At 50.1% G+C, this 27,409-nt stretch overlaps 2 protein-coding genes across 12 annotated transcripts in view, besides 9 other annotated features; both read left to right on the top strand.

Moving 5' to 3' along the window:
* Positions 1,160-1,349: a silencer, noted in NCBI's record as "silent region_10721". NCBI's record gives its function as "represses an Ori minimal core promoter by ATAC-STARR-seq in GM12878 lymphoblastoid cells {active_cell/tissue: GM12878}" and the evidence as "EXISTENCE:reporter gene assay evidence [ECO:0000049][PMID:35858748]".
* Positions 1,311-21,793, top strand: ETHE1 (ETHE1 persulfide dioxygenase). 5 transcript variants are annotated; one of them, NM_001320867.2, is made up of 7 exons: positions 1,311-1,415; positions 1,853-1,997; positions 2,196-2,311; positions 16,946-17,075; positions 19,648-19,737; positions 20,452-20,568; positions 21,610-21,793. In NM_001320867.2, exons 1-7 carry the CDS (start codon positions 1,335-1,337, stop codon positions 21,660-21,662), a joined length of 732 nt encoding a protein of 243 aa, NP_001307796.1. In that variant the 5' UTR covers positions 1,311-1,334; the 3' UTR covers positions 21,663-21,793. The 5 variants fall into 5 exon arrangements, with proteins under 5 accessions (NP_001307796.1, NP_055112.2, XP_005258744.1 ...); NM_014297.5 differs by having other exon boundaries at positions 2,163-2,311; XM_005258687.5 differs by having other exon boundaries at positions 1,311-1,575; positions 2,163-2,311.
* Positions 1,655-2,159: an enhancer, noted in NCBI's record as "H3K4me1 hESC enhancer chr19:44030505-44031009 (GRCh37/hg19 assembly coordinates)". NCBI's record gives its function as "activates a minimal SCP1, AML or CMV promoter by ChIP-STARR-seq in primed H9 embryonic stem cells {active_cell/tissue: H9 hESC(primed)}" and the evidence as "EXISTENCE:reporter gene assay evidence [ECO:0000049][PMID:30033119]".
* Positions 1,960-2,139: an enhancer, noted in NCBI's record as "active region_14725". NCBI's record gives its function as "activates an Ori minimal core promoter by ATAC-STARR-seq in GM12878 lymphoblastoid cells {active_cell/tissue: GM12878}" and the evidence as "EXISTENCE:reporter gene assay evidence [ECO:0000049][PMID:35858748]".
* Positions 2,160-2,665: an enhancer, noted in NCBI's record as "H3K4me1 hESC enhancer chr19:44029999-44030504 (GRCh37/hg19 assembly coordinates)". NCBI's record gives its function as "activates a minimal SCP1, AML or CMV promoter by ChIP-STARR-seq in primed H9 embryonic stem cells {active_cell/tissue: H9 hESC(primed)}" and the evidence as "EXISTENCE:reporter gene assay evidence [ECO:0000049][PMID:30033119]".
* Positions 2,700-2,859: a silencer, noted in NCBI's record as "silent region_10720". NCBI's record gives its function as "represses an Ori minimal core promoter by ATAC-STARR-seq in GM12878 lymphoblastoid cells {active_cell/tissue: GM12878}" and the evidence as "EXISTENCE:reporter gene assay evidence [ECO:0000049][PMID:35858748]".
* Positions 14,859-15,359: an enhancer, noted in NCBI's record as "H3K4me1 hESC enhancer chr19:44017305-44017805 (GRCh37/hg19 assembly coordinates)". NCBI's record gives its function as "activates a minimal SCP1, AML or CMV promoter by ChIP-STARR-seq in naive H9 embryonic stem cells {active_cell/tissue: H9 hESC(naive)}" and the evidence as "EXISTENCE:reporter gene assay evidence [ECO:0000049][PMID:30033119]".
* Positions 23,570-23,629: a silencer, noted in NCBI's record as "silent region_10719". NCBI's record gives its function as "represses an Ori minimal core promoter by ATAC-STARR-seq in GM12878 lymphoblastoid cells {active_cell/tissue: GM12878}" and the evidence as "EXISTENCE:reporter gene assay evidence [ECO:0000049][PMID:35858748]".
* Positions 23,766-27,409, top strand: part of PHLDB3 (pleckstrin homology like domain family B member 3) — a 29,644-nt gene continuing 26,000 nt past the window's right edge. For 5 of the 7 annotated variants that reach the window (XM_005259170.5, XM_005259169.5, NM_198850.4 and 2 more), the window contains exons 1-4: positions 23,766-23,923; positions 24,380-24,606; positions 26,229-26,411; positions 26,641-26,778. In XM_005259170.5, coding sequence (XP_005259227.1) covers positions 24,394-24,606; positions 26,229-26,411; positions 26,641-26,778 — 534 coding nt within the window. In that variant the 5' untranslated portion in view covers positions 23,766-23,923; positions 24,380-24,393. Of the gene's footprint in view, positions 23,924-24,363; positions 24,607-26,228; positions 26,412-26,640; positions 26,779-27,409 lie in introns of those variants that run through there. The other 2 variants (XM_047439241.1, XM_047439240.1) reach the window with 1 other exon arrangement.
* Positions 24,108-24,630: an enhancer, noted in NCBI's record as "H3K4me1 hESC enhancer chr19:44008034-44008556 (GRCh37/hg19 assembly coordinates)". NCBI's record gives its function as "activates a minimal SCP1, AML or CMV promoter by ChIP-STARR-seq in primed H9 embryonic stem cells {active_cell/tissue: H9 hESC(primed)}" and the evidence as "EXISTENCE:reporter gene assay evidence [ECO:0000049][PMID:30033119]".
* Positions 24,230-24,479: a silencer, noted in NCBI's record as "silent region_10718". NCBI's record gives its function as "represses an Ori minimal core promoter by ATAC-STARR-seq in GM12878 lymphoblastoid cells {active_cell/tissue: GM12878}" and the evidence as "EXISTENCE:reporter gene assay evidence [ECO:0000049][PMID:35858748]".

Genomic DNA, 27,409 nt, shown 5'->3' with positions numbered 1-27,409 from the left:
AAAAAAAAAAAAAAAGCTCTGCCCCTAGGCTGGAAATCAAGGCTGCTCTGATGTCACAAAGTGACATAGATCCTCCAGATGAGAGTGGGATGTCCTATTCTCACTACTGCTACGATTACAAAGAGCAGACTTTCTGACAGCTCATGACTTGAGACTACAGTTTTTCAGCCCCAGGTCCTTGGTGTAAATGAACACAAGCTCTTTTCAGAGGTTCACACCCCAACAGAAGATGAATAATCCCCAATCTGATTATTCAAGAGATAATGCAAAATTATCTTTTTTTTTTTTTTTAAGATTTCTTCCTGGAAAGAGAGAAACATTCCTGATAAAATGCTTATGCAATTTCTGGATGAACTTTAATGGGATCAAGTGTTGTTCTGGTAACCAGGCACCCACTCAAAAGTCCCTCAAGATATTAATGACCTGGAACCGAACGAATATCTTTTTTTTTTGAGACAGAGTCTCCCTCTGTCGCCCAGGCTGGAGTGCAGTGGCGTCATCTCTACTCACTGCAACCTCTGCCTCCCGGAACCGAACATCTTTTTCTAACCATGACTATCCTACCACCTGCTAGAAAACGGCCCCACGGGACGCGGTGGCTCACGTCTGTAATCCCAGCACTTTGGGAGGACAAGGTGGGAGGAACGCTTGAGCTCAGGAGTTCGAGATCAGCCTGGGCAACATAGTGAGAACTCCGTCTCTGCAAAAAACAAATTTTATATACATGTATGTGTGTGTGTGTGTGTATATATATATATGTATATAAATATATATATAGATATAAATATATATATATAAAATGTCGGGTGTGGTGGCAACGTGCCATAGTCCCAGCTACTCGGGAGGCTGAGGTTGGAGGATCGCTTGAACCCGGGAGTTTAAGGCTGTAGTAAGCTGAGATCGAGTCACTGCACTCAAGCCTGCGTGACAGAGCGAGACTCTGTCTCAAAATAAAACAAAAGAAAAAGGAAAAAAAACGGCCCCGAGGCTATGAGTGTACTGGGGCCTCTCCCTGGGTTTCTACTTCTCTCCCTATCTCTGTTCCTACATGAGTATGTCTGTGTGTCTCTGAGCGTCTGTCCCTCGCACTTTGAGTGTCTCCCTGTTCTCTGTTTTTTCTGGGTCTCAAAGCGTCCAGGCATTGCACTCTGGCTTTCCTCGGTCTCGCCCTCGCCCCAGTCCCGCTCGGCGGTCCCCCGCCCTCTGCCCCAGGCGTCCGTGGCCCCTTTAAGGCGTGCTCCGCCCCCGCCCCGCCCTTCCCGGGGTCAGTGCCGTAGCGCCCGGCTCCTGCAGGCGCTCGGCCTCCGCTCATTCCTGACCCCGCAGTGGGCGCGATGGCGGAGGCTGTACTGAGGGTCGCCCGGCGGCAGCTGAGCCAGCGCGGCGGGTCTGGAGCCCCCATCCTCCTGCGGCAGGTGCGGGTGGCTGGACCTAGGAGGGGACTGCTGGGCACTAGGCGGCAGCAAGGACGGAACTCCGGGGTCTCTTAATAGGGAGAGATCCGGGGGGACCCACGCCTGCATCTTGCGGAAAGCGGGGTGGAGGTTTAGGGCTGGACTCTTGGGTCCTTTAAAGGTGAGTGGTCTGGGGGCCTCTGGGCTTGGGGCCAGACCCCTGGGTCCTCTATGAAAGAACGTGCTGGGGACCCTGATTTTGGGATGTTAGGAAGTTGGAACTCTTTTGTTCTGATAGGGGAAGGTAGTGGGGCTCCGGACTCCCGACTCCCGGGGAAAGAGTGGGCTGGGGTTTCTGCTTCTGGATCTTAGGAAGAGGATAGGGTCAGTCTGGACTACTTGGCCTCCAGTGGGTGGAAGTCCGGTTCTGCGCCCTCACCTGGGTCCCCCGTTCCCAGATGTTCGAGCCTGTGAGCTGCACCTTCACGTACCTGCTGGGTGACAGAGAGTCCCGGGAGGCCGTTCTGATCGACCCAGTCCTGGAAACAGCGCCTCGGGATGCCCAGCTGATCAAGGAGCTGGGGCTGCGGCTGCTCTATGCTGGTCAGTCCGGGGACCAAACTCATGGATCCCAGCGGGGCTGGGCTGCAGCGTCAGTGGAATGGGAAGCTGGGGCCCAGAACTCCTGAGTCTGAGGGAGAAGGATCTGGGCTGGGACTCCCAGGTCCTTTCTGTACCCTCCGGACCTGTCCCTCCTCTCTCTCCCAGTGAATACCCACTGCCACGCGGACCACATTACAGGCTCGGGGCTGCTCCGTTCCCTCCTCCCTGGCTGCCAGTCTGTCATCTCCCGCCTTAGTGGGGCCCAGGCTGACTTACACATTGAGGATGGAGACTCCATCCGCTTCGGGCGCTTCGTGAGTTGGGTGCTGGGTCCCCAAGAGGGTGGTGGCCTGGACTTCTTAAACTTAAGGGAAGAGGGGACTGGGGGCCTGGGATCCTGAGTCCTTGGGGAGGAGGGACCTCAGGACCTGGGTTTCTGACCCCTGAGCTCATATTTCTGGGAGGGGGGCACCATAAACCCAGGTGGGGCACTGGGGCAAGAGGCTCTGGGCAGGTGGGGCACTGGCGGAACTCCTAAGTCAACAGCATTTAAGGAGTTTCCTTCCTAAAGCTTAGGGGCAGCCCTTTGGCCTGGCATGCATCTCCATAAAAGTTGATTAGGGGCTGGAATTCTGAGGGCAGGGCTGAGAAGGAAAGAGACCCAGTCCTGTCTTGCGGAAACCTCCGTTTGAGGAAGGAGCATCTGGGTGCTTAGAACCCGGAGCCCAGGACTAGGAAAAGGACGGTGAGGACCCTGGAGTGCAACATTTAAGGAGGCACTCGCTCTCAGGGTCCTGTAAGTGCAGGGTCCGCACCTGTGAGTGAGCGCCTCCTTAAATCTTGCACCAACAGCCTCACCCTAGTCCTAGCCCTGCCGTTGCCTCACACTGGGAAGTCTAAAGGTTCCTGCCTTCCTCACTTTATTTGCCACAGGCACCAGCGGGTTTCCGGCCAGAATTGCAACCAGGCCGAAGGAGGGAGGGCCAGGGGAGTTGCCCTCAGAGAGAGGGAAACAGCTGGCAGGGCATTCTTCTGATCAATTGCTAAAGATGTATAATAAAGTTTGGCTGACTTTGGGGACAGAATGTCAGGTGACAGAAGACAGCCTCCAGGTTAGAGAGTTTTGCCAAATAGGGACAGTTCATTTGAGTCAGAGTGTTTAGAGGAAATGAGGGCTGTGTGTGGGAAGAGAGTTCAGCTACAATGGTTACAGAAGCTTTATTTCAAGCCTTTCTCTGGAAGCAGGCAAAAATGCATTGTACATGTATGTACATTGTACATAATAGGTGCTAACAAACATGTCTTGAAATGAACGAAGGGTTTAGCTATGGTAGATTTAGCTTCAGTGTTTTTTTTTTTTCTTTCTTTCTTTCTTTCTTTTTTTTTTTTATTTGAGACTGGGTCTCTGTCACCTAGGCTGGAGTGCAGTCAGCCTTGACCTCCCAGGCTCAGGTGATCCTCCCACCTTAGCCTCCCTGGTAGCTGGGACCACAGGCATGCACCAGCACGCCTGGCTGATTTGTGTATGTTCTTGTAGAGACAGGGTTTTGTTATGTTGCCCAGGCTGGTCTTGAACTACTGGGCACAAGTGATCCTCCTACCTTGGCCTCCTAAAGTGCTAGGATTACAGGGCTTCTGAAAGTGCTGGGATTACAGGCATGAGCCACTGCACCCACCCTTTTTTGTTGTTGTTGTTTGTTTGTTTGTTTTTGAGAAAAGGTCTTGCTCTGTCACCCAGGCTGGAGTGCAATGGTGGGATCATAGCTTACTGCAGCCTTGACCTTCTGGGCTCAGGTGATCCTCATGCCTCAGCCTCCTAAGTAGCTGGGACTACAAGCACCTGCCACCATACCTGGCTAATTTTTTAATTTTTTGTTGAGCTGTAATCTCACTATGTTGCCCAGGCTTAATAGCTTTATTGATATAACCCACATACCATATAATTTATCTATTTCGAGTGCACAATTCAATGACTTTTAGTATATTCAGAGTTGTACATCCATTACTACCATTAATTGGAAAATGTTTCCATTACTCCAAAAAGACCCCACACCCCTTAGCCATCACCCCTATCCTTCCCTTTTCCCCCCTCAGCCTTAGGCAACTTTTTTTTTTTTTTTTTTTTAATTTGAGACAGGGTCTCACTTTGTTGCCCAAGCTAGAGTGCAGTGGTGCGATCTTGGTTTACTGCAACCTCCACCTCCCGGGTTCAAGTGATTCTCTTGTTTCAGCCTCCCAAATAGCAGGGATTACAGGCGTGCGCCACCAAGCCCAGCAAATTTTTTTGTTTTATTTATTTATTTATTTATTTGAGATGGAGTTTTGCTCTTGTTGCGCAGGCTGGAGTGCAATGGCGCTATCTCAGCTTAGCGCAACCTCAGCCTCCCGAGTAGCTGGGATTACAGGCATGCGCCACCATGCCTAGCTAATTTTGTATTTTTAGTAGAGACGGGGTTTCTCCGTATTGGTCAGGCTGGTCTCCAACTCCCTATCTCAGGTGATCCGCGCGCCCTGGCCTCCCAAAGTGTTGGGATTACAGGCATGAGCCACTGCGCCCAGGCACATTTTTATTTATTTTTTTGAGACAGTCTTGCTCTGTCACCCAGGCTGGAGTGCAATGGCAAGCTCTCAGTTCACTGCAGCCTCTGCCTCCTGAGCGCAAGCGATTCTGCTGTCTCAGCCTCCCAAATAGCTGGGATTCCAGGCATGTGCCACCATGTCTGGCTAATTTTTGTATTTTTAGTAGAGATAGGGTTTCACCATGTTGGCCAGGCTGGTCTCAAACTCCTGACCTCAGGTGATCTGCACACCTTGACCTCCCCAAAGTGCTGGGATTATAGGCGTGAGCCACCATGGCTGGCTTGTCTGAGATTTTGGAGATGGGGGTCCATTTTTCTCTCCTTTATTTTTCCTTCTACTTTAAAAAAATGAATTGTTAGCCTGGGTGTGGTGGCTCATGCCTGTAATTCCAGTACGTTGAGAGGCTGAGGTGGGCGGATCACTTGAGGTCAGAAGTTCGAGATCAGCCTGGCCAACATGGTGAAACCCTGTCTCTACTAAAAATACAAAAATTAAGCGGTATGGTGGTGAGGCACCTGTAATCCCAGCTACTCAGGAGGCTGAGGAGGCAGGAGGAGAATTGCTTGAATCCGGGAGGCAGAGGTTGCAGTGAGCCAAGATCGCACCACTGCACTCCAGCCTGGGTGACAAAGCGAGATTCCATCTCAACAAACAAACAAACAAACAAAACCGAGTTGTTAACATTCATGGAATGAAAGGAGTCCACATATTATACATGTGTATGAGTACTTACCCAGATCCCGATACAGAACTTGCCCATCACCCCAGAAGTCTTCCTTGCCTCCCTTTCTGGCCAATGACCGCCCTCCTAAGGCACCATTCTTCTGATGCATTTAACCACAGGCCGGTTTTGCCTGTTCTGACATTATAAACAGGACTTATACAGTGTACTCTTTTGTGTCTGGCCTTTTTTCCACTCTACATGATGTTGGTTTATACTTGGAGTTCTTTCCTTCTTATTGCTATAGAGCAGCAGTTGGCCACCTTTTTCTGTGAAGGACCAGATAGTAAATATTTTCAGTTTTTACAGGTAGTAGGGTCTCTGTGACAGCTACTCAGCTCTCTTATTGTGGCATGAAAGCAGCCACAGACACTGCATAAATGAATAGGCATGGCTGTGTTCTAATAAGACTTTATTTGTGGCCTCTACATTTGGATTTTAGGTCAGGCTCATGCCTGTAATCCCAGCACTTTGGGAAGCTGAGGTGGGTAGATCACCTGAGGTCAGGAGTTCGAGACCAGCCTGACCAACATGGTGAAACCCCATCTCTACTAAAAATACAAAATAAGCTGGGCGTGGTGGGGTGTGCCTGTATTCCCAGCTACTCAGGAGGCTGAGGCAGGGGAATCGCTTGAACCTCCCCCGGGAGGTGGAGGTTGCAGTGAGCCCAGATGGTGCCATTGCACTCCAGCATGAGTGACAAGAGCAAAACTCCATTTCAAAAAAAATAAATAAATAAAATAAAAAATAAAATTTGGATTTCATATAGGTTTTTTTTTAAATTTGTTTGAGACAGGCTCTTGTTCTATTGCCCAAGCTGGTATGCACTGGCGTGAGCATAGCTCATTGCAGCCTCCAACTCCTGGGCTCAAGTGATCCTCCTACCGCAGCCTCCTGAGTAGCTGGGACTATGGGCATGTGCCACCATGCCCAGCTAATTTTTAAACAATTTTTTGTAGAGACTGAGTCTTGCTGTGTTGCTCAGATTGGTCTCAAACTCCAGGCCTCAAGCAACCCTCCTGCCTCGGCCTCCCAAAGTGTTGGGATTACAGGTGTGAGCCCCATCTAGTTTTTACATGTTACTTTGATAGTTTTCAATGTGAAAAAAAGTTAAAATGATTCTTAGCTTACAGGCCTTACAAAAACTGATGGCAGGCCAAATTTGGTCCACTGGCCATAATTTTTGCCCTACAAAATGGGCAGGTTGTGGTGGCTCCTAGGCTCAAGCGATCCTCCTTGCCTCAGCCTCCCAAAGTACAAAGTGAATTACAGGCATGAGCCACTACACCCTATTTTCCTTCTGATTATTCAGTTTTTGGCTACCACGAATAATGCTGCTATGAAGATTCTTCTGCTAATATCTTAGGGAACATTGTCATGAATTCTAAGGACTGGATTTTCTGGGTCACTGAGTCGACAAATGTTTAATTTTCATAGAAACTCCCAGTTTCTTGAACTGGTTGTTCATCTTACATAAAAGATGGGACAAATTTAAGTGGTTTCATTGTAGAATGAGTTTTCTTTCTTTCTTTTTTTTTTTTTTAGAGACAGAGTCTCACTCTGTCCCCCAGGTTGGAGTGCAGTGGCACAATCTTGGCTCACTGCAATCTCTGCCTCCCTCTGGGAGCCTCAGTTCCCTGCGCTAAAACACAGGGTTTATCACAGCACCTTCCTCTTGAGGCTGTTTCAAGGATTAGCTGGCTGCCTTCAGGATCTCCAACCCAGAGGTTCCCCTTCTAGGTGTGAAGCCCAGAGACACCCTTGCTCATGTGCACAAAAGACAGCAGGGGTGTAGGGCAGGGGACAAAGTACACAGCAGGGGACTGTTTAATACATGATGACGCTACAAGGCAGTGGATCGCCAAAACAGGAGTAATTCTTTTTTTTCTGAGACAGAGCCTCACTCTGTCACCCAGGCTAGAGTGCAGTGGCGCAGTCTCGGCTCACTGCAACCTCCGCCTTTCGGTGATCCTTCTGCCTCAGCCTCTCCAGTAGCTGGGATTACAGGTGCGCACCACCACATCTGGCTAAATTTTATGTTTTTATTAGAGATGGGGTTTCGCCATACTGCCAGGCTGGTCGTGAGCACCTGGCCTCAAGTGATCTGCGTGCCTCAGCCTCCCAAAATGCAGGGATTACAGGAGTGAGCCACCGCACCTGGCCCAAGTTTTCTTTTTTTAATAAACTGATTGAGAAGTGAACATCTTAGCTGCCACAGGGTGGCCGAATCAGAAAGTTAGGTTTGCTGTTAAATATGCTGGCTTAGAGAAGTACTGCTGAAAACACTGATCCCCCAGGTCCCTTAGAATCAGAGAGTCTGATTTAATTGTTCTGGGTGGACACAAGGAATTGGCATGTTTTAAAAGCTCCACCATTGATTCTTATGTGGCTCAAGTGTGGGTTTCAATACTTCCTCCTTTTAACATTGTGAAACGAGTAATTTTTCTTCCAACATTTTATTATGAAAAATTTCAAGCATAGAGAAAAGCTGAAAAAAAATTTTTTTTTTTTTTTGAGACAGGGTCTCACTTTGTCATCCAGGCTGGAGTGCAGTGGTGCAATCATAGCTCACTGCAGCCTCAACCTCCTGGCTCAAGCGATCCTCCTGCCTCAGGCTTCCAAATAGCTGGAACTACAGGTGTGCACCACCACTCCTGGCTAGTTTTTGTGTTTTTTGTAAAGACAGAGTTTTGCCACATTGCCCAGGCTGGCCTCGACCTCCTGGGCTCAGGCAATCCTCCCTCCTTGGCCTCCCAAAGTGCTGGGATTAGAGTGAGCCACTGCACCAGGCTTAAAATTTTTTTTTACAGTGTACATCTCTAACCATCCATCACTTCATCTTTTTTTCTTTTGAGATGGAGTCTCACTCTGTTGCCCAGGCTGGCGTACAGTGGCACAATCTTGGTTTACTGCAACCTCTGCCTCCTGGGTTCAAGCGATTCTCTTGCCTCAGCCTCCCGAGTAGCAGTAGCTGGATTTACAGGCGAGTGCCACCACACCCAGCTAATTGATTTTTAAAAGATTTTTAGTAGCGATGGGGTTTCACCATGTTGGCCAGGCTGGTCTCGAACTCCTGACCTCAAGTGATCCACCTGCCTTGACCTCCCAAAGTGCTAAGATTACAGGTTTGAGCTGCTGTGTCCGACCTATTCTTTTTTTTTTTTTTTTGGGTGGGGGTCTCGCTATGTTGTCCAGGCTGGTATTGAACCCTGGCTAAGGTGATCCTCCCGCCTCAGCCTCCCAAGTAGCTGGGCCTACAGACGTGCACCATCATGCCTTGCTGTAATTGTTCTATTTTATTATTAGTTATTATTGATTTATTAATGTGCCTAATTTATAAATTAAACTCTATCATAGGTGCGTATGTATAGGAAAAAGCATAGTGTGTAGGGTTCTGTACTATCTGCGGTTTTAGGCATCCACTCCGGGTCTTGAAATGTATCCCAGGCAGATAAGAGGTGTTTACTATAGTTTTGAGTAATGAAGGGAAAGAACTTGGGAACCAAATGGAAAAGAAGCTGAGAGCTTACTTGCCACCAGGGGGCAGTGTAGGCCGTGGGAACTCCAAGGCCAGCAAGCTGAATGCTTTACAGGATTCCTTCTGGGTTATGTTTCTTTGATGGGGGTAGTTTCAGGTTTAGCTGCTGCAGGCAACAGATGAAAGAAAAGCTCTGGGGATGTGTCACAGACATGATGCATCATGGAAGGGAAGAATGAATTTGTTGAAAGAATTTGGGGTTAGGCAGGCTGGGCTGTTGCGGAAATCACTCGACAAGTTTCAGGGACAATGAAGGCTGCTTTAGGTCAAGATGTTATATGTTCCCCACCCACAATTTCTTATTTTGAATTTTTTAAAATCTACATTGAAATAATAGTACAAAATATAACAATACACAAGCACAGGCCGGGCGCGGTGGCTCACGCCTGTAATCCTGGCACTTTGGGAAGCCGAGGTGTGCGGATCACCCGAGGTCAGGAGTTTGAGATCAGCCTGGCCAACATGATGAAACCCCGTCCCTACTAAAAATACAAAAATTAACCGGGCATGGTGGCACGCTCCTGTAATCCCAGCTACTCAGGAGGCTGAAGCATGAGAATCACTTGAACACCCAGGAGGTAGAGGTTGCAGTGAGACGAGATCGCACCACTGCACTCCAGCCTGGGCCACAGAGCAAGACTGTCTCAAAAAAAAAAAAAAAAAAAAAAAAAAAAAACAAGCACAAATTTCATCAGCCATCAGAGCAATTATGTCACTATAGGTCATGAAACTTTTAGAACCGCGCCCCTCTCCCCCAAATGTTTTTGGGGAATGCGAGTGAAAATGGGCAAAAAGTCCAAAAATCGTTTTGATTTTGCAGAATGTCAGGGTTCTCTAGGCTATACTTTGAGACTTCCTCTTTTACAAAACCTTTGTCACGTCTAACAAAATATGCAGTAACTTTTTTTTTTTTTTTTTTTTTTTGAGACAAGAGTCTCGCTCTGTCGCCCAGGCTGGAGTGCAGTGGTGCGATCTCGGCTCACTGCAAGCTCCGCCTCCCGGGTTCATGCCATTCTCCTGCCTCAGCCTCCCGAGTAGCTGGGACTACAGACGCCCACCACCACGCCCAGCTAATTTTTTTTTTTGTATTTTTAGTAGAGACGGGGTTTCACCATGTTAGCCAGGATGGTCTCGATCTCCTGACCTCGTGATCCGCCCGTCTCGGCCTCCCAAAGTACTGGGATTACAGGCGTGAGACACCACGCCCGGCCAATATGCAGTAACTTTATATCATTATTAAATATTCAGCTGTGTTCAGATGTCTCCAATTACCCGAGGAATAATTTTTACAGCTTTTTTTTTCTTTTTTCTTTCTTTTTTTGGTAGAGATAGGATCTCACCATGTTGCCCAGGCTGGTCTCAATCTCCTGGGCTCAAATGATCTTCCCCTCTCGGTGACTCAAAGTGCTGTAATTATAGGTGTGAGCCACGGTGCCCAGCCTACGGCTGTTTTTAGGAACCAGGATACAATTGAGCTTAGTGTTTGGCCATTATGTCTATTTAGTCTCTTTTGTGTGTGTGTTTGTGTTTTCTTTTTCCTTCTTTTCTTTTTGTTTTGTTTTCTTTTTTATTATTTATTTATTATTTTTTATTTATCAAAAATCTTTTTGGATCTAGAACAGTTTCATATCCTTTTGCCCCAGGATATTGACTTTTTTTTTTGAGACAGTCTCGCTCTGTCACCCAAGCTGAGGATATTGACTTTTGTTTTTTGTTTTTTTTTTTTGAGACGGAGTGTTGCTCTGTCACTCAGGCTGGAATGCAGTGGCATGATCTCTGCTCACTGTAACCTCTGCCTCCCAAGTTCAAGCAATTCTACTGCCTCAGCCTCCCCAGTAGCTGGGACTATAGGCATGTGCCACCACGCTTGGCATGCTTGGCTAATTTTTTTTTTTTTTTTGAGGCGGAGTCTCACTCTGTCACCCAGGGTGGAGTGCAGTGGCGTGATCTCAGCTCACTGCAGCCTCCGCTTCCTGGGTTCAAGCAATTCTCCTGCCTCAGCCTCCCGAGTAGCTGGGATTACAGACATCACCACCACGCCTGACTAATATTTGTATGTTTTGTGGAGATGGGGTTTCACCATGTTGGCGAGGCTGATCTTGAACTCCTGACCTCAGGTCATCCACCTGCCTTGGCCTCCCAAAGTGTCGCGATTAGGCGAGCCACCGTGCCTGGCTTCGGCTAATTTTTGTATTTTTAGTATGGATGGGGTTTCACCATGTTCACCAGTCTGGTCTCAAATTCCTGACCTCAAGTAATCTACCTGCCTCGGCCTCCCAAAGTGCTGGGATTACAGGCGTGAGCCACCGTGCCTGGCCGCATTTAATACATTTAACCTACTGAACATTATAGGTTAGCCTACTTTACCTTAAAGTGGTCAGAACATTTACATTAGCCTACAGTTGGGCAAACTCATCTAACACAAAGCCTTGTATTTTATACAAGAGTGTTGAATATCTCATGTAATTTATTGAATACTGAATTGAAAGTGAAAAACAGAATGGCTGTATGGGTGCATGGAATATGATTTCTATTGAAAGTGTATCACTTTTGGCTTGGTGCAGTGGCTCATGCCTGTAATCCCAGCACATTGAGAGGCTGAGATGGGAGGATTGCTTGAGGCCAGGAGTTCAAGACCAGGCTGGTCAACATAGTGAGAGCCCATCTTTACTGAAGAAAAAAAAAGACAAATGAAAAAAAGAAATAAAATGTATCACTTTCACATTATTGTAAAGTCAATAAATTGTTAGTCATCGGGCACATCACACCTGTAATCCCAACACTTTGGGAGGCTAGTGTGGGCAGATTGCTTGATGCCAGGAGTTCAAGACCAGCCTGGTCAACATGATGAAACCTCGTCTCTACTAAATAACAGTACAAAAATTAGCTAGACACAGTGATGCGTGCCTGTTATCCCAGCTACTCAGAAGGCTGAGACACAAGAATCACTTCAACCCAGGAGGCCGAGGTTGCAGTGAGCCGAGATCATGCCACTGCACTCCGCAGCCTGGGCGACAGAGAGAGACTCTATCTCAAAAAAAAAAAAAAAAAAGAAAAAAAGAAAGAAAAAAAAGCCAGGCATGGTGGCTGACTCACACCTGTAATCCCAGCATTTTGGGAGGATGAGGCAGGCGGATCATTTGAGGTCAGGAGTTTGAGACCAGCCTGGCCAATGTGGTGAAACCCCATCTCTACTAAAAAGACAAAAATTAGCCAGGTGTGATGGTGAGTGCCTGTAATCCCAGCTACTCAGGAGGCTGAGGCAGGAGAATCGCTTGAACCCGGGAGGCGGAGGTTGCAGTGAGCCGAGATCGCACCACTGCACTCCAGCCTGGGTGACAGAGTGAGACTCTGGTTAAAAAAAAAAAAATCATAAGTCAGACCATCTTAAGTCAAGGACCACATGTATACCAAGGGTTGAGCCACAGGGTATGTGTAGATTTAGCTTTAGTAGAAACTGCCCAGTAATTTTGATTTGTAGATGATCTTTATATATTCCGGATCCAAGAACTTTGTTGGATCCAGTACAACTCCTTTACCTGTGGTTTCACTTTCTGTGGTTTTAGTTATCTGTGGTCAACCATAGCGTGAAGATATTCAATGGAAAATTCCAGAGATAAACAATTAGTAAGTTTTAAATTGTACATCGTTCTGAGTAGCATGATAAAATCTCACACCATCCCACTCAGGACATGAATTATCCCTACGTCCAGTGTATCTGTGCTGTATAGGAGTATGTTACCCATTCGTTAATCACTTAGTAGCCTTCTTGATTATCAGATGAAAAAAAAACATAGATTGGCCGGTCACGGTGGCTCACGCCTGTAATCCCAGCACTTTGGGAGCCTGAGGCGGGTGAATCACCTGAGGTCAGGAGCTTGAGACCAGCCTGACCAACATGGTGAAACCCTGTCTCTACTAAAAAATACAAAAATTATCTGGGCATGGTGGTGGGCACCTGTAACCCTAGCTACTTGAGAGGCTGAGGCAGGAGAATCACTTGAACCCAGGAGGGGGAGGTTGCAGTGAGCCAGGATCATGCCATTGCACTCCAGTCTGGGTGACAGAGCCAGACTCCGTCCAAAACAAAACAAAACAAAACAGTATTTATAGGGTTTGTACTATCTGAGGTTTCAGATATCCACTGGGTTCTTGGAGGTATCCCCTGCGGATAAGGAAGGACTACTGTTTATGTTTGTAAATATCATTTTCCACTCTGAGGGCTACCTTTTCACTGTCTTTTTTTTTTTTTTTTTTTAAGGCGGAGTTTTGCTCTTGTCATCCAGGCTGGAGTGTGATGGTGCAATCTTGGCTCACTGCAACCTCCGCCTCCCGGGTTAAAGCAATTCTCCTGCCTCATCCTCCCAAGTAGCTGGGATTACAAGCATGTGCCACCATGCCTGGCTAATTTTTGTATTTTTAGTAGAGATGGGGTTTCACCACATTGGCCGGGGTGGTCTCGAACTCCTGACCTCAGGTGATTTGCCCGCCTCGGCCTCCCAAAGTGCTGGGATTACAGGTATGAGCCACAGCGCCCAGCCACCACTGCCTATTTTTTATTTTTAAAAGTGTAAAACATTGAATTTTATTTCAACGGTATTGCTTTTAATGACTGTTGGGTATTCCATTTTTATATTAGTGTGCTTACCTTTTTAAAATTGGTTTGCAAGATCTGTTTGTATATTAAGTATATTGACCACTGTGTGGTATGTATATGTTACAAATATATTTTCCCAGCATATTGGTTCTCTTTAGATTTTGTTTATGGTGTTGCTGCCATTCAGAACCTTCTGACTGATCTTTTCCTTAATGATTTATCACTTTAGGTATCACATTTGAATATCCCTTCTGTATTAGTCTGTTCTCATGCTGCTAATAAAGACATACCTGAAGGCTGGGTGTGGTGGCTCACGCCTGTAATCCCAGCACTTTGGGAGGCCAAGGCAGGTGGATCACGTGGTCAGGAGTTTGAGACCAGCCTGACCAACATGGTGAATCCCCATCTCTACTAAAAATATAAAAATTAGCCAGGTGTGGTGGTACATGCCTGTAATCCCAGCTACTCAGGAGGCTGAGGCAGGAGAATTGCTTGAACTGGGGAGGCAGAGGTTGCAGTGAGCCAAGATTGCACCACTGCACTGCAGCCTGGGTGACAGAGCAAGACTGTCTCAAAAAAAAAAAAAAAAAAAAGACATACCCAAGACTGGGTCATTTATAAAGAAAAAGGGGTTTAGTGGGCTCACAGTTCCACCTGGCTTGGGAGGCCTCCCAATCATGGTGGAAGGCAAAACAGGAGTGAAGGCATGGCTTACATGGCGACAGGCAAGAAAGTGTGTGCAGGGGAACTGCCGTTTGTAAGATCATCAGATCTTGTGAGACTTATTCACTATCATGAGAATAGCATGGGAAAAACCCACCCCCATGATTCAATTACCTCCCACCGGCTCCCTCCCACAACCCATGGGGATTATGGGAGCTATAATTCAAGATGAGATTTGGGTGGGGACACAGCCAAACCATATCATTCCACTTTGGTCGCTCCCAAATCTCATGTCCTCACATTTCAAAACCAATCATACCTTCCCAACAGTCCCCCAAAGTCTCAACTCATTTCACTATTAACTCAAAAGTCCACAGTCCAAAGTCTCATCTGAGGCCGGGCATGGTGGCTCACACCTGTTATCTCAGCACTTTGGGAGGCCAAGGCAGGCAGATCAGCTGAGGTCAGGAGTTCAAGACCAGCTTTCCCAAAATAATAAAACCCTGTCTATACTAAAAATACAAAAATTAGGCAGGCATGGTGGCACATGCCTGTAGTCTCAACTACTCGGGAGGCTGAGGCACAAGAATTGGTTGAACCTGGGAAGCAGAGGTTGCAGTGAGCCAAGATTGCACCACTCCATCCCAGCCTGGGTGACAGAGTGAGATTCTGTCTCCAAAAAAAAAAAAAAATCAACAACAAAATAAAGTCTCATCTGAGACAAGGCAAGTCCCTCCCACCTATGGGCCTGTAAAATCAAAAGCAAGTTTAGTTATTTCATAGATACAGTGGGATCCAGGGATTGGGTAAATACATCCATTCTAAATGGAAGAAATTGGCCAAAATGAAGGGGCTGCAGGCTCCGTGCAAGTCCTAAATCCAGTGGGGCAGTCAAATCTTAAAGCTCCAAAAAGATCTTTTACTCCATGTCTCAAATCCAGGTCATGCTGATGCAAGAGGTGGGTTCCCATGGTCTTGGGCAGCTCTGCCCCTCTGGCTTTGCAGGGTACAGCCCCACTCCTGGCTGCTTTCACGGGCTGGTGTGGAGTATCTGTGGCTTTTCCAGGCACATGGTGCAAGCTCTCGGTGGATCTAACACTCTGGGTTCTGGAGGGCGATGGCCCTCTTCTCACAGCTCCACTAGGGGCAGTGCCCCAGTGGGAACTCTCTGTGGGGGCTCCCACTCCACATTTCCCTTCTGCACTGTCCTAGCAGAGGTTCCCTATGAAGGCTTCACCCCTGCAGCACACCTCTGCCTGGACATCCAGGCATTTCCATACAGCCTCTCAAATCTAGCTGGAGGCTCCCAAACCTCTGTTCTTGACTTCTGTTCACCAGCAGGCCCAGCACCACGTGTAAGCCACCAAGGCTTGGGGCTTGCACCCTCTGAAGCAATGGCCTGAGCTGTACTTGGCCCCTTTTAGCCCCGACTGGGATGCAGGGCACCAAGTCCTGAGACTGCACAAAACAGCAAGGCCATGGGCCCTGCCCATGAAACCATTTTTTCTCCTAGTCCTTTGGACCTGTGTTGGGAGAGGCTGCTGTGAAAACCTCTGACATGCCCTGGAGACATTTTTCCCATTGTCTTGGTGATTAACATTTGGCTCCTCGTTACTTATACAAATTTCTGCAGCAGGCTTGAATTTTTCCTCAGAAAATGGGTTTTTTTTTCTATCACATTGTCAGGCTGCAAATTTTCCAAACATTTATGCTCTATTTCCCTTTTAAACATAGGTTCCAATTCCAAACCATATCATTGTGAATACATAAAACTGAAGTGAATGCTTTTAACAGCACTCAAGTCACCTCTTGAATGCTTTTAACAGCACTCAAGTCACCTCTTGAATGCTTTCCTGCTGAGAAATTTCTTCTACTAGGTACCCTAAGTCATCTCTCTCAAGTTCAAAGTTCCACAGATCTCTAGGGCAGGGGCAAAATGCTGCCAGTCTCTTTGCTAACACATAACAAAAGTGACCTTTACCCCAGTTCCCAAAAAGTTCCTCATCTCCATGTAAGACCATGTCAGCCTGGACTTCATTGTTCATATCACTCTCGGCATATTGGTCAAAGCCACTCAACAAGTCTCTAGGAAGTTCCAAACTTTCCCACATTTTTCTGTCTTCTTCTGAGCCTTCCAAACTGTTCAAACCTCTGCTTGTTACCCAGTTCCAAAGTCACATTTTCACATCTCCTTATAGCAGCACCCCACTTTACTGGTACCAATTTACTGTATTAGTCTTTTCTCATGCTGCTAATAAAGACATCCCTAAGACTGGGTCATTTATAAAGAAAAAGAGGTTTAATGGACTCATAGTTCCACATGGCTGGGGAGGCCTCACAATCATGGTGGAAGGCGAAGGAGGAGCAAAGACCTGTCTTACATGGCAGCAGGCAAGAGAGAGTGTGCAGGGGAACTGCCCTTTATAAAACCATCAGATCTCGTGAGACTTATTCATCATCACGAGACAGCATGGGAAAAACCTGCCCCCATTATTCAATTACCTCCTGCCTGGTCCCTCCCATGACATATGAGGATTATGGGAGCTACAATTCAAGATGAGATTTGGGTGGGGACACAGCCAAACCATATCACCTTCCTAACCAGAGGTCAGATATTATTTGTATTTTTGTTGTTGTGTGTCACAGCTTTGCGGTTTTATTTTTCATGCATTTAAATCTTTAATCCACTTGGAGTTTACTCTGATAATATAAGATTACAGCCTGGGAATCTACATTTTTTACCAAAATGTTTATCTAGATAAGACCCTGGGGTAGGGTGGGGCTTTGGGGGCCAGTTTCATCTAGAAGGCTTCTTGGTGACTATCTCTGTACTCTTCCACCCCTGCCAGGCGTTGGAGACCAGGGCCAGCCCTGGCCACACCCCAGGCTGTGTCACCTTCGTCCTGAATGACCACAGCATGGCCTTCACTGGAGATGCCCTGTTGATCCGTGGGTGTGGGCGGACAGACTTCCAGCAAGGTGACCAGCTCCTTTATCCAGCCCAAGATCTTCATATAGTTACGTGTGTGTCAAGTGTTGAAGTATCTGTTACAAGAATGAATGGATGGACATTAGACTTTTAGGGGGCTTCAGTATTAAATTCAAGGAGTTTACCTGCTAGAACAGTGGTCCCCAACCTTTTTGGCACCAGGGACCGGTTTCGTGGAAGACAATTTTTCCATGGACCATGGCAGGGCATAGTTTCGGGGATTCAAATGCATTACATTTATTGTGCACTTTATTATTACATTGCAATAGATAATGAAATAATTATGTAACTCACCATCATGTAGAATCAGTGGGAGCCCTGAACTTGTTTTCCTGCAACTAGATGGTCACATCTGGGAGAGACGGAAGATAGTGACAGATCATCAGGCATTAGATTCTCATAAGGAGAACGCAACCTAGATCCCTCGCATGTGCAGTTCGCAATAGAGTTTGTGCTCCTATGAGAATCTAATGCTGCTGCGGATCTGACAGGAGGCAGAGCTCAGGTGGTAACGGGAGTGATGGGGAGTGGCTGTAACTACAGATGAAGCTTTGCTCACTCACCCACCGCTCACCACCTTCTGCACAGCCCAGTTCCTAACAGACCACGGACCGGTACCCAGGGTTAAGGACCCCCATGCTAGAGTATGGGAAGAGTTAGATTCAGGGGCTTAGCTGTTGGGGGACAGTTAGATTCAGGGGTGTGTTAGTTACCTATTTGAGCCCAGCTTGGGCAACATAGTGAGACTCCCTCTCTAAGAAACAAATATAGCTAAAAAAAAAAAAAAAACAAAGGGCTGGGCATGGTGGCTCACGCCTATAATCCCAGCACTTTGGGAGGCCGAGGCAGGTGGATCATGAGGTCAGGAGTTCAAGACCAGCCTGGCCAAGATGGTGAAACCCCGTCTCTACTAAAAATACAAAAATTAGCTGGCCATGGTGGTGGGTGCCTGTAGTCCCAGCTACTCGGGAGGCTGAGGCAGAGATTTACTTGAACCCAGGAGGCGGAGGTTGCAGTGAGCCAAGATTGCGCCACTGCACTCCAGCCTGGGTGACAGAGTGAGACTTCATCTCAAAAAAAAAAAAAAAAAAGATAAAAAAAGAAGTTGTTAAAGCCAGCGGTTTAATTGCCAGGGAGCAATGAATGATCCATTTGGAGTCTAGCTGCTAGGGGCAGTTAGATTTAGGAGCTTCCCTGTAGAAAGCGAGTATAGTTTCAGAATCTCAGGGTTGGGCCATCCTTTGAGCATGTGTGTGAATGTGGGGTTAACACTAGGCCTGGAATTTAGCTGTCTTGTGGGGAGAGGTGAGGCTGGATGAGAGGGAAAGACAGAAGCCATGATGAGATGGCCGTGGAAGCCACATCCCCAGGCCTCTTCCTCCCTCTTCCCTCTCTCCTTATCTCTGCATCTCAGTCTCTGTCTTTTTCTCTCCAAGGCTCCCAATCTCCCATTTATCCATTCACAGTACAGTCAGGAAGCTGAAGGATTTAGGCCGAAATGCAAGGTGGAATAGAGGTTTGCCCCCTACTTAGGACTCAGAGCTGCTTGTGGGGACCATGGCTTCACACTCTCCTCCTGGGCCTCATGTCCTCATGTCTGCAGTTTCTTTCTTCTTCTTCTTCTTTTTTTTGAGACGGAGTCTCGCTCTGTCGCCCAGGCTGGAGTGCAGTGGTGCAATCTTGGCTCACTGCAAGCTCTGCCTCCTGGGTTCACGCCATTCTCCTGCCTCAGCCTCCCGAGTAGCTGGGACTACAGGCGCCCGCCATCACGCCAGGCTAATTTTTTTGTATTTTTAGTAGAGACAGGGTTTTACCATGTTAGCCAGGATGGTCTCGATCTCCTGACTTTGTGATTCACCCACCTCGGCCTCCCAAAGTGCTGGGATTACAGGCGTGAGCCACCGCGCCCAGCCTTTTTTTTTTTTTTCTTGAGACAGAGCCGCGCTCTATCTCCCAGGCTGGAGGGCAGTGGTGTGATCTTGGCTCACTGCAACCTCCGCCTCCTGGGTTCAAGCAATTCTCCTGCCTCAGCCTCCCAAATAGCTGGGATTACAGGCATGGGTCACCATGCCTGGCTAATTTTTGTATTTTTAGTAGAGACAGGGTTTTGTCATGTTGGCCAGGCTGGTCTCGAACTCCTGACCTCAGGTAGTCCACCCACCTCAGCCTCCCAAAGTGCTAGGATTACAGGCATGAGCCACTGCACCTGGCTTTGTCTTCAGTTTCTTACCTTCTAGTCCACCTTCCTTGTTCAGAACCCTTACTTGACATCCCCTGGGTGACAGCCAAGGTCACAAATGACACTCTTTGGTGCTTCACGGTGTCATTCCAACCCTATTTACAGCCATGCTGAATTTCTTGACATTCCTCAATTCTTTGTATATGCTGTTCCATCTGCCTAGAATGCCTTTCCCTGTTCTCTACTTAGACAAAGGGATATTGGCAGGACACGAAGGAGAGGGTTTAGCTATAGTGATTTTATCCTCCTACCCTTTTCTTGAAGGAAGGGGTTAGAGTCTTCTGTCCTGTTGATCCACTGACCTCTGATCTTTCCTTCCCCAGGCTGTGCCAAGACCTTGTACCACTCGGTCCATGAAAAGATCTTCACACTTCCAGGAGACTGTCTGATCTACCCTGCTCACGATTACCATGGTGAGGGCTTCCTGGAAGAGGTGTGGGGCGTACATAACTTTGAAAGTGGAGTGTAAATCTCTGTAATCCTTGTAGGGCATGAAGACGACCAGTCTCAGAAATTTCTCTGGCCAAAAAAAATTAAGTGTTTGAGGCTGGGCAAGGGGGCTCACACTTGTAATCCTAGCACTTTGGGAGGCCAAGGCAGGAGGCTCATTTGAGCCCAGGAGTGAGTTCGAGACCAGCTGGAGTAACATGGCAAAACCCTGCCTCTACAAAATACAAGAAATTAGCCAGGCATGGTGGCATGCTGCCAGCTACTTGGGAGGCTGTGGTAGAAGGATTGCTTGAGCCTGGGAGGTTGAGGCTGCAGTGAGCTATGATTGTACCACTATATTCCAGCCTGGGTGACACAGCAAGCCCCTGTCTCAAAAAAAAAAAAAAAAAAAGAGATAAAGTGCTTGAGCCTGCTGTGTGTGGATGTAGAAACTATGTGACTGCCAGATGCCTAGAATTCTGCAGGGCATGGGTTTTCCTGGGCCTTACTTGTGGAGCTTAGGGAACTGGGGGAAAACTAAATTTCCCATAGTGTCCATGGAGGAGGGAAAGCAATTTTAGGAATATTCTGGGAAGAGCCCCTGCCAGAGAGGCACCCAAGGCCTCCTGGGGAATGTAGTTCTGAGAGGCCTGAGGCACTAGACTCCTTGACTTTCCTTCCCCTCCCTTGGCCCCTAGGGTTCACAGTGTCCACCGTGGAGGAGGAGAGGACTCTGAACCCTCGGCTCACCCTCAGCTGTGAGGAGTTTGTCAAAATCATGGGCAACCTGAACTTGCCTAAACCTCAGCAGATAGGTGAGCAGCTGGGGACCTGGACTTCTGGGTCTGAGAGAGGAGGGGCTGGGGTCTTGGACTCCTGGGTCTGAGAGAGGAGGGGCTGGGGGCCTGGACTCCTGGGTCTGAGGGAGGAGGGGCTGGGGGCCTGGACTCCTGGGTCTGAGGGAGGAGAGGCTGGGGGCCTGGACTCCTGGGTCTAAGGGAGGAGGGGCTGGGGGACTGGACTCCTGGGTCTGAGGCAGTAGGGGCTGGGGGCCTGGACTCCTGGCTCTGAGGGAGTAGGGGCTGGGCTGGGGGCCTGGGCTCCTGAGTCTGAGGGAGGAGGGGCTGGGGGCCTGGGGTCCTGGGTCTGAGGGAGGAGGAGCTGGGGGCCTGGACTCCTGGGTCTGAAGGAGGAGGGGCTGGGCTGGGGGCCTGGGCTCCTGGGTCTGAGGGAGGAAGAACTGGGGGCCTGGACTCCTGGGTCTGAGGGAGGAGGAACTGGGGGCCTGGACTCCTGGATCTGAGGGAGGAGGGACTGGGGACCTGGGCTCCTGGGTCTGAGGGAGGAGGGACTGGGGGAGGAGGAGCTGGGGGCCTGGACTCCTGGGTCTGAGGGAGGAGGGACTGGGGACCTGGGCTCCTGGGTCTGAGGGAGGAGGGGCTGGGGGCCTGGACTCCTGGGTCTGAGGGAGGAGGGGCTGGGGGTCTGAACTCCTGAGTCTGAGGGAGGAGGGGCTGGGGGACTGGACTCCTGGGTCTGAGGGAGGAGGGGCTGGGGGACTGGACTCCTGGGTCTGAGGAAGGAAGGGCTGGGGGACTGGACTCCTGGGTCTGAGGGAGGAGGGGCTGGGGGTCTGGGCTCCTGGGTCTGAGGGAAGAGGGGCTGGGGGTCTGGACTCCTGGGTCTGAGGGAGGAGGGGCTGGGGTACTGGACTCCTGGGTCTGAGGGAAGGAGTGGGCTCAGGACCAAAACTCTAGTTTCCTGAAGAGGAAAGGTTCCTAGGATTTCTGGGTCTCCAGTGGGGCCTGGAACTCTACCTAGGCCCCTTAGTTTTAACCTTGATTTCTTCCTTTCAGACTTTGCTGTTCCAGCCAACATGCGCTGTGGGGTGCAGACACCCACTGCCTGATCTCACTTCTGTCAGATGCTCCCATCCACTATTAATGCACTAGGTGGGAGGAGAGGGCGGCAATGACACTGCACCTCTCCTTTCCCACCGCATTCCCTGGAGCTCCCTAAATAAAACTTTTTTTAACGTGAGTCTGACTTCTACCTATTTTCTGGGGGAACCAATTGGGTTTCTGGGCCGAAAGGGGTGGGGTTCTGGTCCTATGGAGAGGCCAGGGAGCCTGCAAGATTTGTTTTCTTTTTCTTTTCTTTTTTTTTTTGAGATGGAGTCTCCCTCCATTGCCCAGGCTGGAGTGCAGTGGCACGATCTCGGCTCACTGCAACCTCTGCCTCCCGGGTTCAAGCGATTCTCCTGCATCAGCTTCCCAAGTAGCTGGGACTACAGGCGCGTGCCACCATGCCCGGCTAATTTTTTCATATTTTTAGTAGAGACAGGGTTTGACCATGTTAGCCAATATGATCTTGATCTCCTGACCTCGTGATCCACCAGCCTCGGCCTCCCAAAGTGCTGGGATTACAGGTGTGAGCCACCGCGCCCAGCCCGGGAGCCCACAAGATTTCTAACTCACAAGATCAAAAACAAACACAGCTATCTGGGGCAGGTCTTCTCATCACCTTGGATTAGAACACCGGCTTGCTTTTGAGCCACTTCCCACTTAGCCCTGGGGTAAGTTACTTCACTTCTCTAGGCCTCAGTTTTCTTATCTCTAAAATGGAAGGAATAATAATGGGGTGTTGTGATGCTCTGATGAGTCAATGTGTGTGAGTGCCTGGCACATGGCCTATCAGTGTTCACCATTAAAGTTACTATCATTTAGAATGATCTTTTGGGTACTTCCTGGCTTGTAGTGACAGTATACGCAATGGTTAAGAACATGGACTTTTGAGAGAATGAAGCCTGCATTTTACCACTTACAACATGTGTAGATGTTGGCTACATTTTTTTTTTTTTTTCTGAGATGGGGTCTTACTCTGTCGCCCAGGCTGGAGTGCAGTGGCACATTCAAGACTCACTGCAGCCTCGACCTCCTGGGCTCGAGATATCCTCCTGCCTCAGCCTCTGGAGTAGCTGAGATGACAGGTGTGTGCCACCACGCCTGGCATAATTTTTGTATTTTTAGTAGAGATGGGGTTTCTCCATGTTGCCCAGGCTGGCCTTGAACTCCTGATCTCAAGCAATCCACCTGCCTCGGCTTCCCAAAGTGCTGGGATTACAGGCCTGAGCCTCTGTGCCCAGCCAACCTTGGGTGCATTTGTCCTCCTCAGCTTGTATCCCCAAGTGTAAAATGGAGATAGTAGGCCAGGAGCGGTGGCTCACGCCTGTAATCTCAACACTTTGGGAGGCTGAGGCAGGCAGGTTGTTTGAGCCCAGGAGTTCAAGATCAGCCTGGGCAACCTGGAGAAACCCAGTCTCTACTAAAAAAAAAGAAATGGAGGTAGTAATCACTTTCTCGCTGGACAGCTTTGAGGGTGAAATTAAATGACTGGGTATAAAGTGTTTCACACAGCTCTTGACTTCTAATCATCCCTTTTCATATACCAGTTATTTTCCTGTTTTCATTTTCCTGTTTTCGCCCAGAGAGGAAAGGGTCTGGCTGAGACCTTTAACCTCTGCCCTCCACCCCATAGCAAAGTTGTGGGGGGGTGGCGGTACACTTCCCTCAGTCTCTGGGCAGGTGTCTGACTCAGTTCAGGGCACCCCTTCCCCTTGTCCAGCTCCCCAAACCGGTCAGGGCCCTTCTGAAGGGCTCATTAGAGGGGAGACGTCCCCATCTCCATTCCTGCCTTCCTTTCTGAACTCCCAAGGTCTGGACATTAGAGAGGCTCCCATACAGAGGTGGCCAAGACTCCTCCAGGGGGGCAGGAATGAGGGGCTCGAGGGAGACTGGGAGGTCGCGATGCTGAGTTCCACGAGGGTGGGGCCGGGCCGGGGCCGGTGGGGCCGGGATGGCCGGATGCCGAGGCCACGGGTGGGGCAAGCCCGTGGCTCCCTCCTCCCTCGGGAGCTGTTGGACCTGTTGTCCCCCCTCCACTTCCGGGCTGCTGGGGAGGGGGACCGGGCGGCCTCTCTCCTCCCTCTTCCCCTGCCACCTGTCTCATAGGCAGAAGCGGCCGTGCCCAGCGCGCAGAGCGGAGCGCGCCGAAGCCTGAGCTCGTGAGGGGGCCGAGGCTGTGGGGAGGTGGCAGTTGGACTTCGGAATCTCAAGGACTCCGACTCCTGGCTTGTTCAGAGAAGGAGAGCCCCGACTCCTGGATCCCTGGGTGAGGCGGCGTGGGCACGGTTGCCCTGCACAGTGGGGTCGGGACTAAGACTACGGGGCTCCGGGAAGGATGGGGCGGGAGCCGAACTGCTGAGTCTCGGAGGGAGAAGATGGGTCGCTCTAAGCGAATCCAAGAGATTGTAGGGGGCTGCTGGGAGGGTACAAGGCCTGACACCTAGAGATGAGGGAGGGGAGGCGGGGTCGAAGAGGTCAGTAGGGGGCGTGCTACGACCCGGACTCAAATTCCGGTCCCGTCTCCGGTGGCGTGTCGCCTTGGAGCCATCAAGCCCCGCCTCTGGAAACTTCAGGACACGCCTCCGTAACGCTCAGTTCCATCCTTTGAACTCTTAGGCCCCGCCTCCTTGGGGGGGGGTCTCCGCGCCCCGGAGCAGACGCGAGCGGCGCTCAGCCGTCCTAGGCCCCGCCCCCGGAGCTTCTGGTCCCGCCCACCCCGCAGGAGTCCCAGCGGCCATGGGGACGCGAAGCAGCCCCGAGGAGGGGACCCCGCCGCCGCTGGTCCCGGAATGCGACGTGGAGGTCCAGCCCCAGGGCCATCCCGAGGAGTCCCGGGAACAGGAGGCATCCGAAGTCCTGGCGGAACCTTCGAGCCGCGGGGGAGCTGAGCAGCAGGCAGAGGAAGAAGAAGTGGGAGAAGGCAGCAGCACTGAGAGCAGCCGCGACGCGGTGAGGGGCCCGAGGGCGACAGCGCGGGGGGCTTGGACCGACGGGGACCCAAACAGGTGGCCAGACAGGTAGACAGGTAGAGGGAAACCAGAAAGACAGAGACCCGGAGACAGGGAGAGAGACCGAGTGATAGCAGAGACTACTGAGAGAGAGATACACCAGGACACGGAGCCAGAGAGGCAGAGGCACAGACAGACAGAAACCAGATACAGAGACAGAAACCAGATAGAGCCACGGGGAGGCCCCAAGAACGGAGATAGACCCAAACGGGCGACAGAGACAGAGAGACTAGTATAGAGGAACCAGATAGGTGGCTCACGCCTGTAATCCCAGCACTTGGGGAGGCCGAGGGGAGGATTGCTTAAGCCCAGGAGTTCGAGACAAGTCTGGGCAACATAGCAAATCCCTGTCTCTAGAGAAAAAAAAAATACAAAAATTGTCCAAGCGCAGTGCCGCGTGCCTGTAATCCCAGCTACTCGGGAGGCTGAGGCAGGAGGATCGCTTGAGCCCAGGAGTTGTAGGCTGCGGTGAACTATGACTGCGCCACTGCACCCCAGCCTGGGACAAAGCAGAACCTATCTCTAAAAATGAGAGAGAGAGAGAGAGAGAGAGAGAGAGAGAGAGACCAGATAGACAGACAGGAGAGACTACAGAACAGAGAGAACCAAACGAGTAAGAGATGCAGAGAGATCAAGAAGCCAGACAGAGACCCAGAGACATGGAGACTGAGAGACAAAGACCCCAAAAAGACAGAGACACAGTGAGACTAGAGTCAGAGAGAGGGGAATCGAGACAGAGGGAAACCCAGAAATAAATGGCAGAGATGCTCAGAGAAACAAATAGACAAAAACCTCGAGAGAGGGACATACTCCGAGGAAGAAAGATCTAGTGATTCTAGTGGACAGATCTAGTGGACAGATACCGAATCTGAGAGACTGGGGTCAGGTGGAGAGACAGAGACAGATCCAGGCACTACAAGAAAGTGACGCCAAGAGAATAGGACCTGATAGAGAAAAAGAAACACCTTTCATAAGTCGGCTTTACACCTGCTCACCCTCCATACGGTACTGCAAGCCTCTGTGGTCCGTGTGGTTGGGTGGTCACGGGACTTGCACCCTCCCCCACTCCGACCTTAAATACAGGGGTCTGAGGCCGGGCGCGGTGGCTTATGCCTGTAATCGTAGCACTTTGGGAGGCCGAGGTGGGAGAATCCCTTGAGCCTAGGAGTTTGAGACCAGCCTGGGCAACATAGCATCGCCCCCTCTCTGCCAAAAAAAAAAAAAAAAAAAAAGAGCTTGGCGTGGCGGTGCGCGCCTGTAGTCACAGCTACCTAGGAGGATGAGGCAGAAGAATCGCTTGAGCGAGGGAGGTCGATGCTGCAGTGAGCCGTAATCGCGCCACTGCACTCCAGCCAGTGAGACCCTATCTCAGGACAAAAAAAAAAAAAAGATAAGAAAGAAAAAGAAAAGAGCCTGCGACAGATTATGGGAGTGGTGGTTGTGTTAGGTAAGTGGACTGATGGACTGAGACCCGCAGAGGGTGATGTTGGGTGGGGACCAGACCTACTTAGTGATTGCAGGGGGCGAGGCATCTCCACTTAACCACGCCCCCCTCAACTTCAGCCCGAGGCTACGCCTCCGATAGCTATGGCGGCCACACCTCCCGCATCCACCTCTTCGCGGGAAGGGGTGCGAGGGGCGGCGCGGCGCCTGCAAGGACAGCAGCTGGAGGCATTGACTCGTGTGGCCCTGATGGAGCAGCGAGTGAAGGAGCTACAGCGCCAGAGGAAGGAGCTGAGGATCGAGGTGAGGCTGCGGACCCCTTGGGAAGCCTGGCCCCAACTCAAGCGGAACCCGCAAAGCCGGACTCCCAGCTTTTTCCTCGGGTGGGATCAGATTTTAGGCCCTCCGCTCTTCCTCCCTCCAAATTCAGGTCCCTGGAGTCCATCCTCCCTTCGAATCCGGTAGTTCAGGCCCTGGGCCTCTTCCTTGGACCTAGGCGTCCGAGCCCCCAGCCCTGGCATTCTCTCCGCAGATGGAGGTGGAGGTGGCCTTGCTGCGGGGTGAGCTGGCTGGGGAGCGAGTGGCCGCTCGCCGGGAGGAGGAGCAGCTGCGGGAGCTGCTGGAGCAGCAGGCGGCCTCGGAGCAGCGCGGCCGCCAGCAGCGGGAACAGGTCTGTTTGGCTCACCGGGTCTTCATCAGCAGTGTCCTTCCTGGTCCATGGATGTTGGTGTGCTCCTAGCCACCTGCGCCCCGGGGTTGTCCCCATTCCCCAAAGGAAGACATTTGGGCTCCTGAGAGAGTGAGGGGCAGATGCCCCTCCTGGTTTTCCTTCTCCCTCCCTGGGCGAGATTTTTGGGGCTCTTCCTTTGTCCCCTGTCCGTTTGCTATTTAAATGTGGGTGTGTAAAAACTTCCAAACTGGCCGGAAGCAGTGGCTCACGCCTGTAATCATAGCACTTTGGGAGGCCGAGGCGGGCGGATTGCCTGAGCTCAGGAGTTTGAGACCAGCCTGGGCAACATGGCGAAACCCCGTCTCTGCTTAAAAATACAAAAATTAGCAGGGCGTGGTGGCGGGCGCCTGTAGTCCCAGCTACTTGGGAGGCTGAGGCAGGAGAATCGCTTGAATCCGGGAGATGGAGGTTGCAGTGAGCCAAGATCGCACCATTGCACTCCAGCAGCCTGCGTGACAAGAAGGAGACTCCGTCTCAAAAAAAAAAAAAAAAAAAAAAGAGAAAAAGAAAACTTCCAAACCCACCCCACAATAGTCAGGCAGCTCCCATGTCCTGTGCCCACCAGCTTCAT

The sequence above is a fragment of the Homo sapiens genome, chromosome 19 (genome assembly GCF_000001405.40).
Source record: "Homo sapiens chromosome 19, GRCh38.p14 Primary Assembly".
Classification (NCBI taxonomy): domain Eukaryota; kingdom Metazoa; phylum Chordata; class Mammalia; order Primates; family Hominidae; genus Homo; species Homo sapiens.
This window is presented reverse-complemented; position numbering and strand designations above follow the sequence as displayed.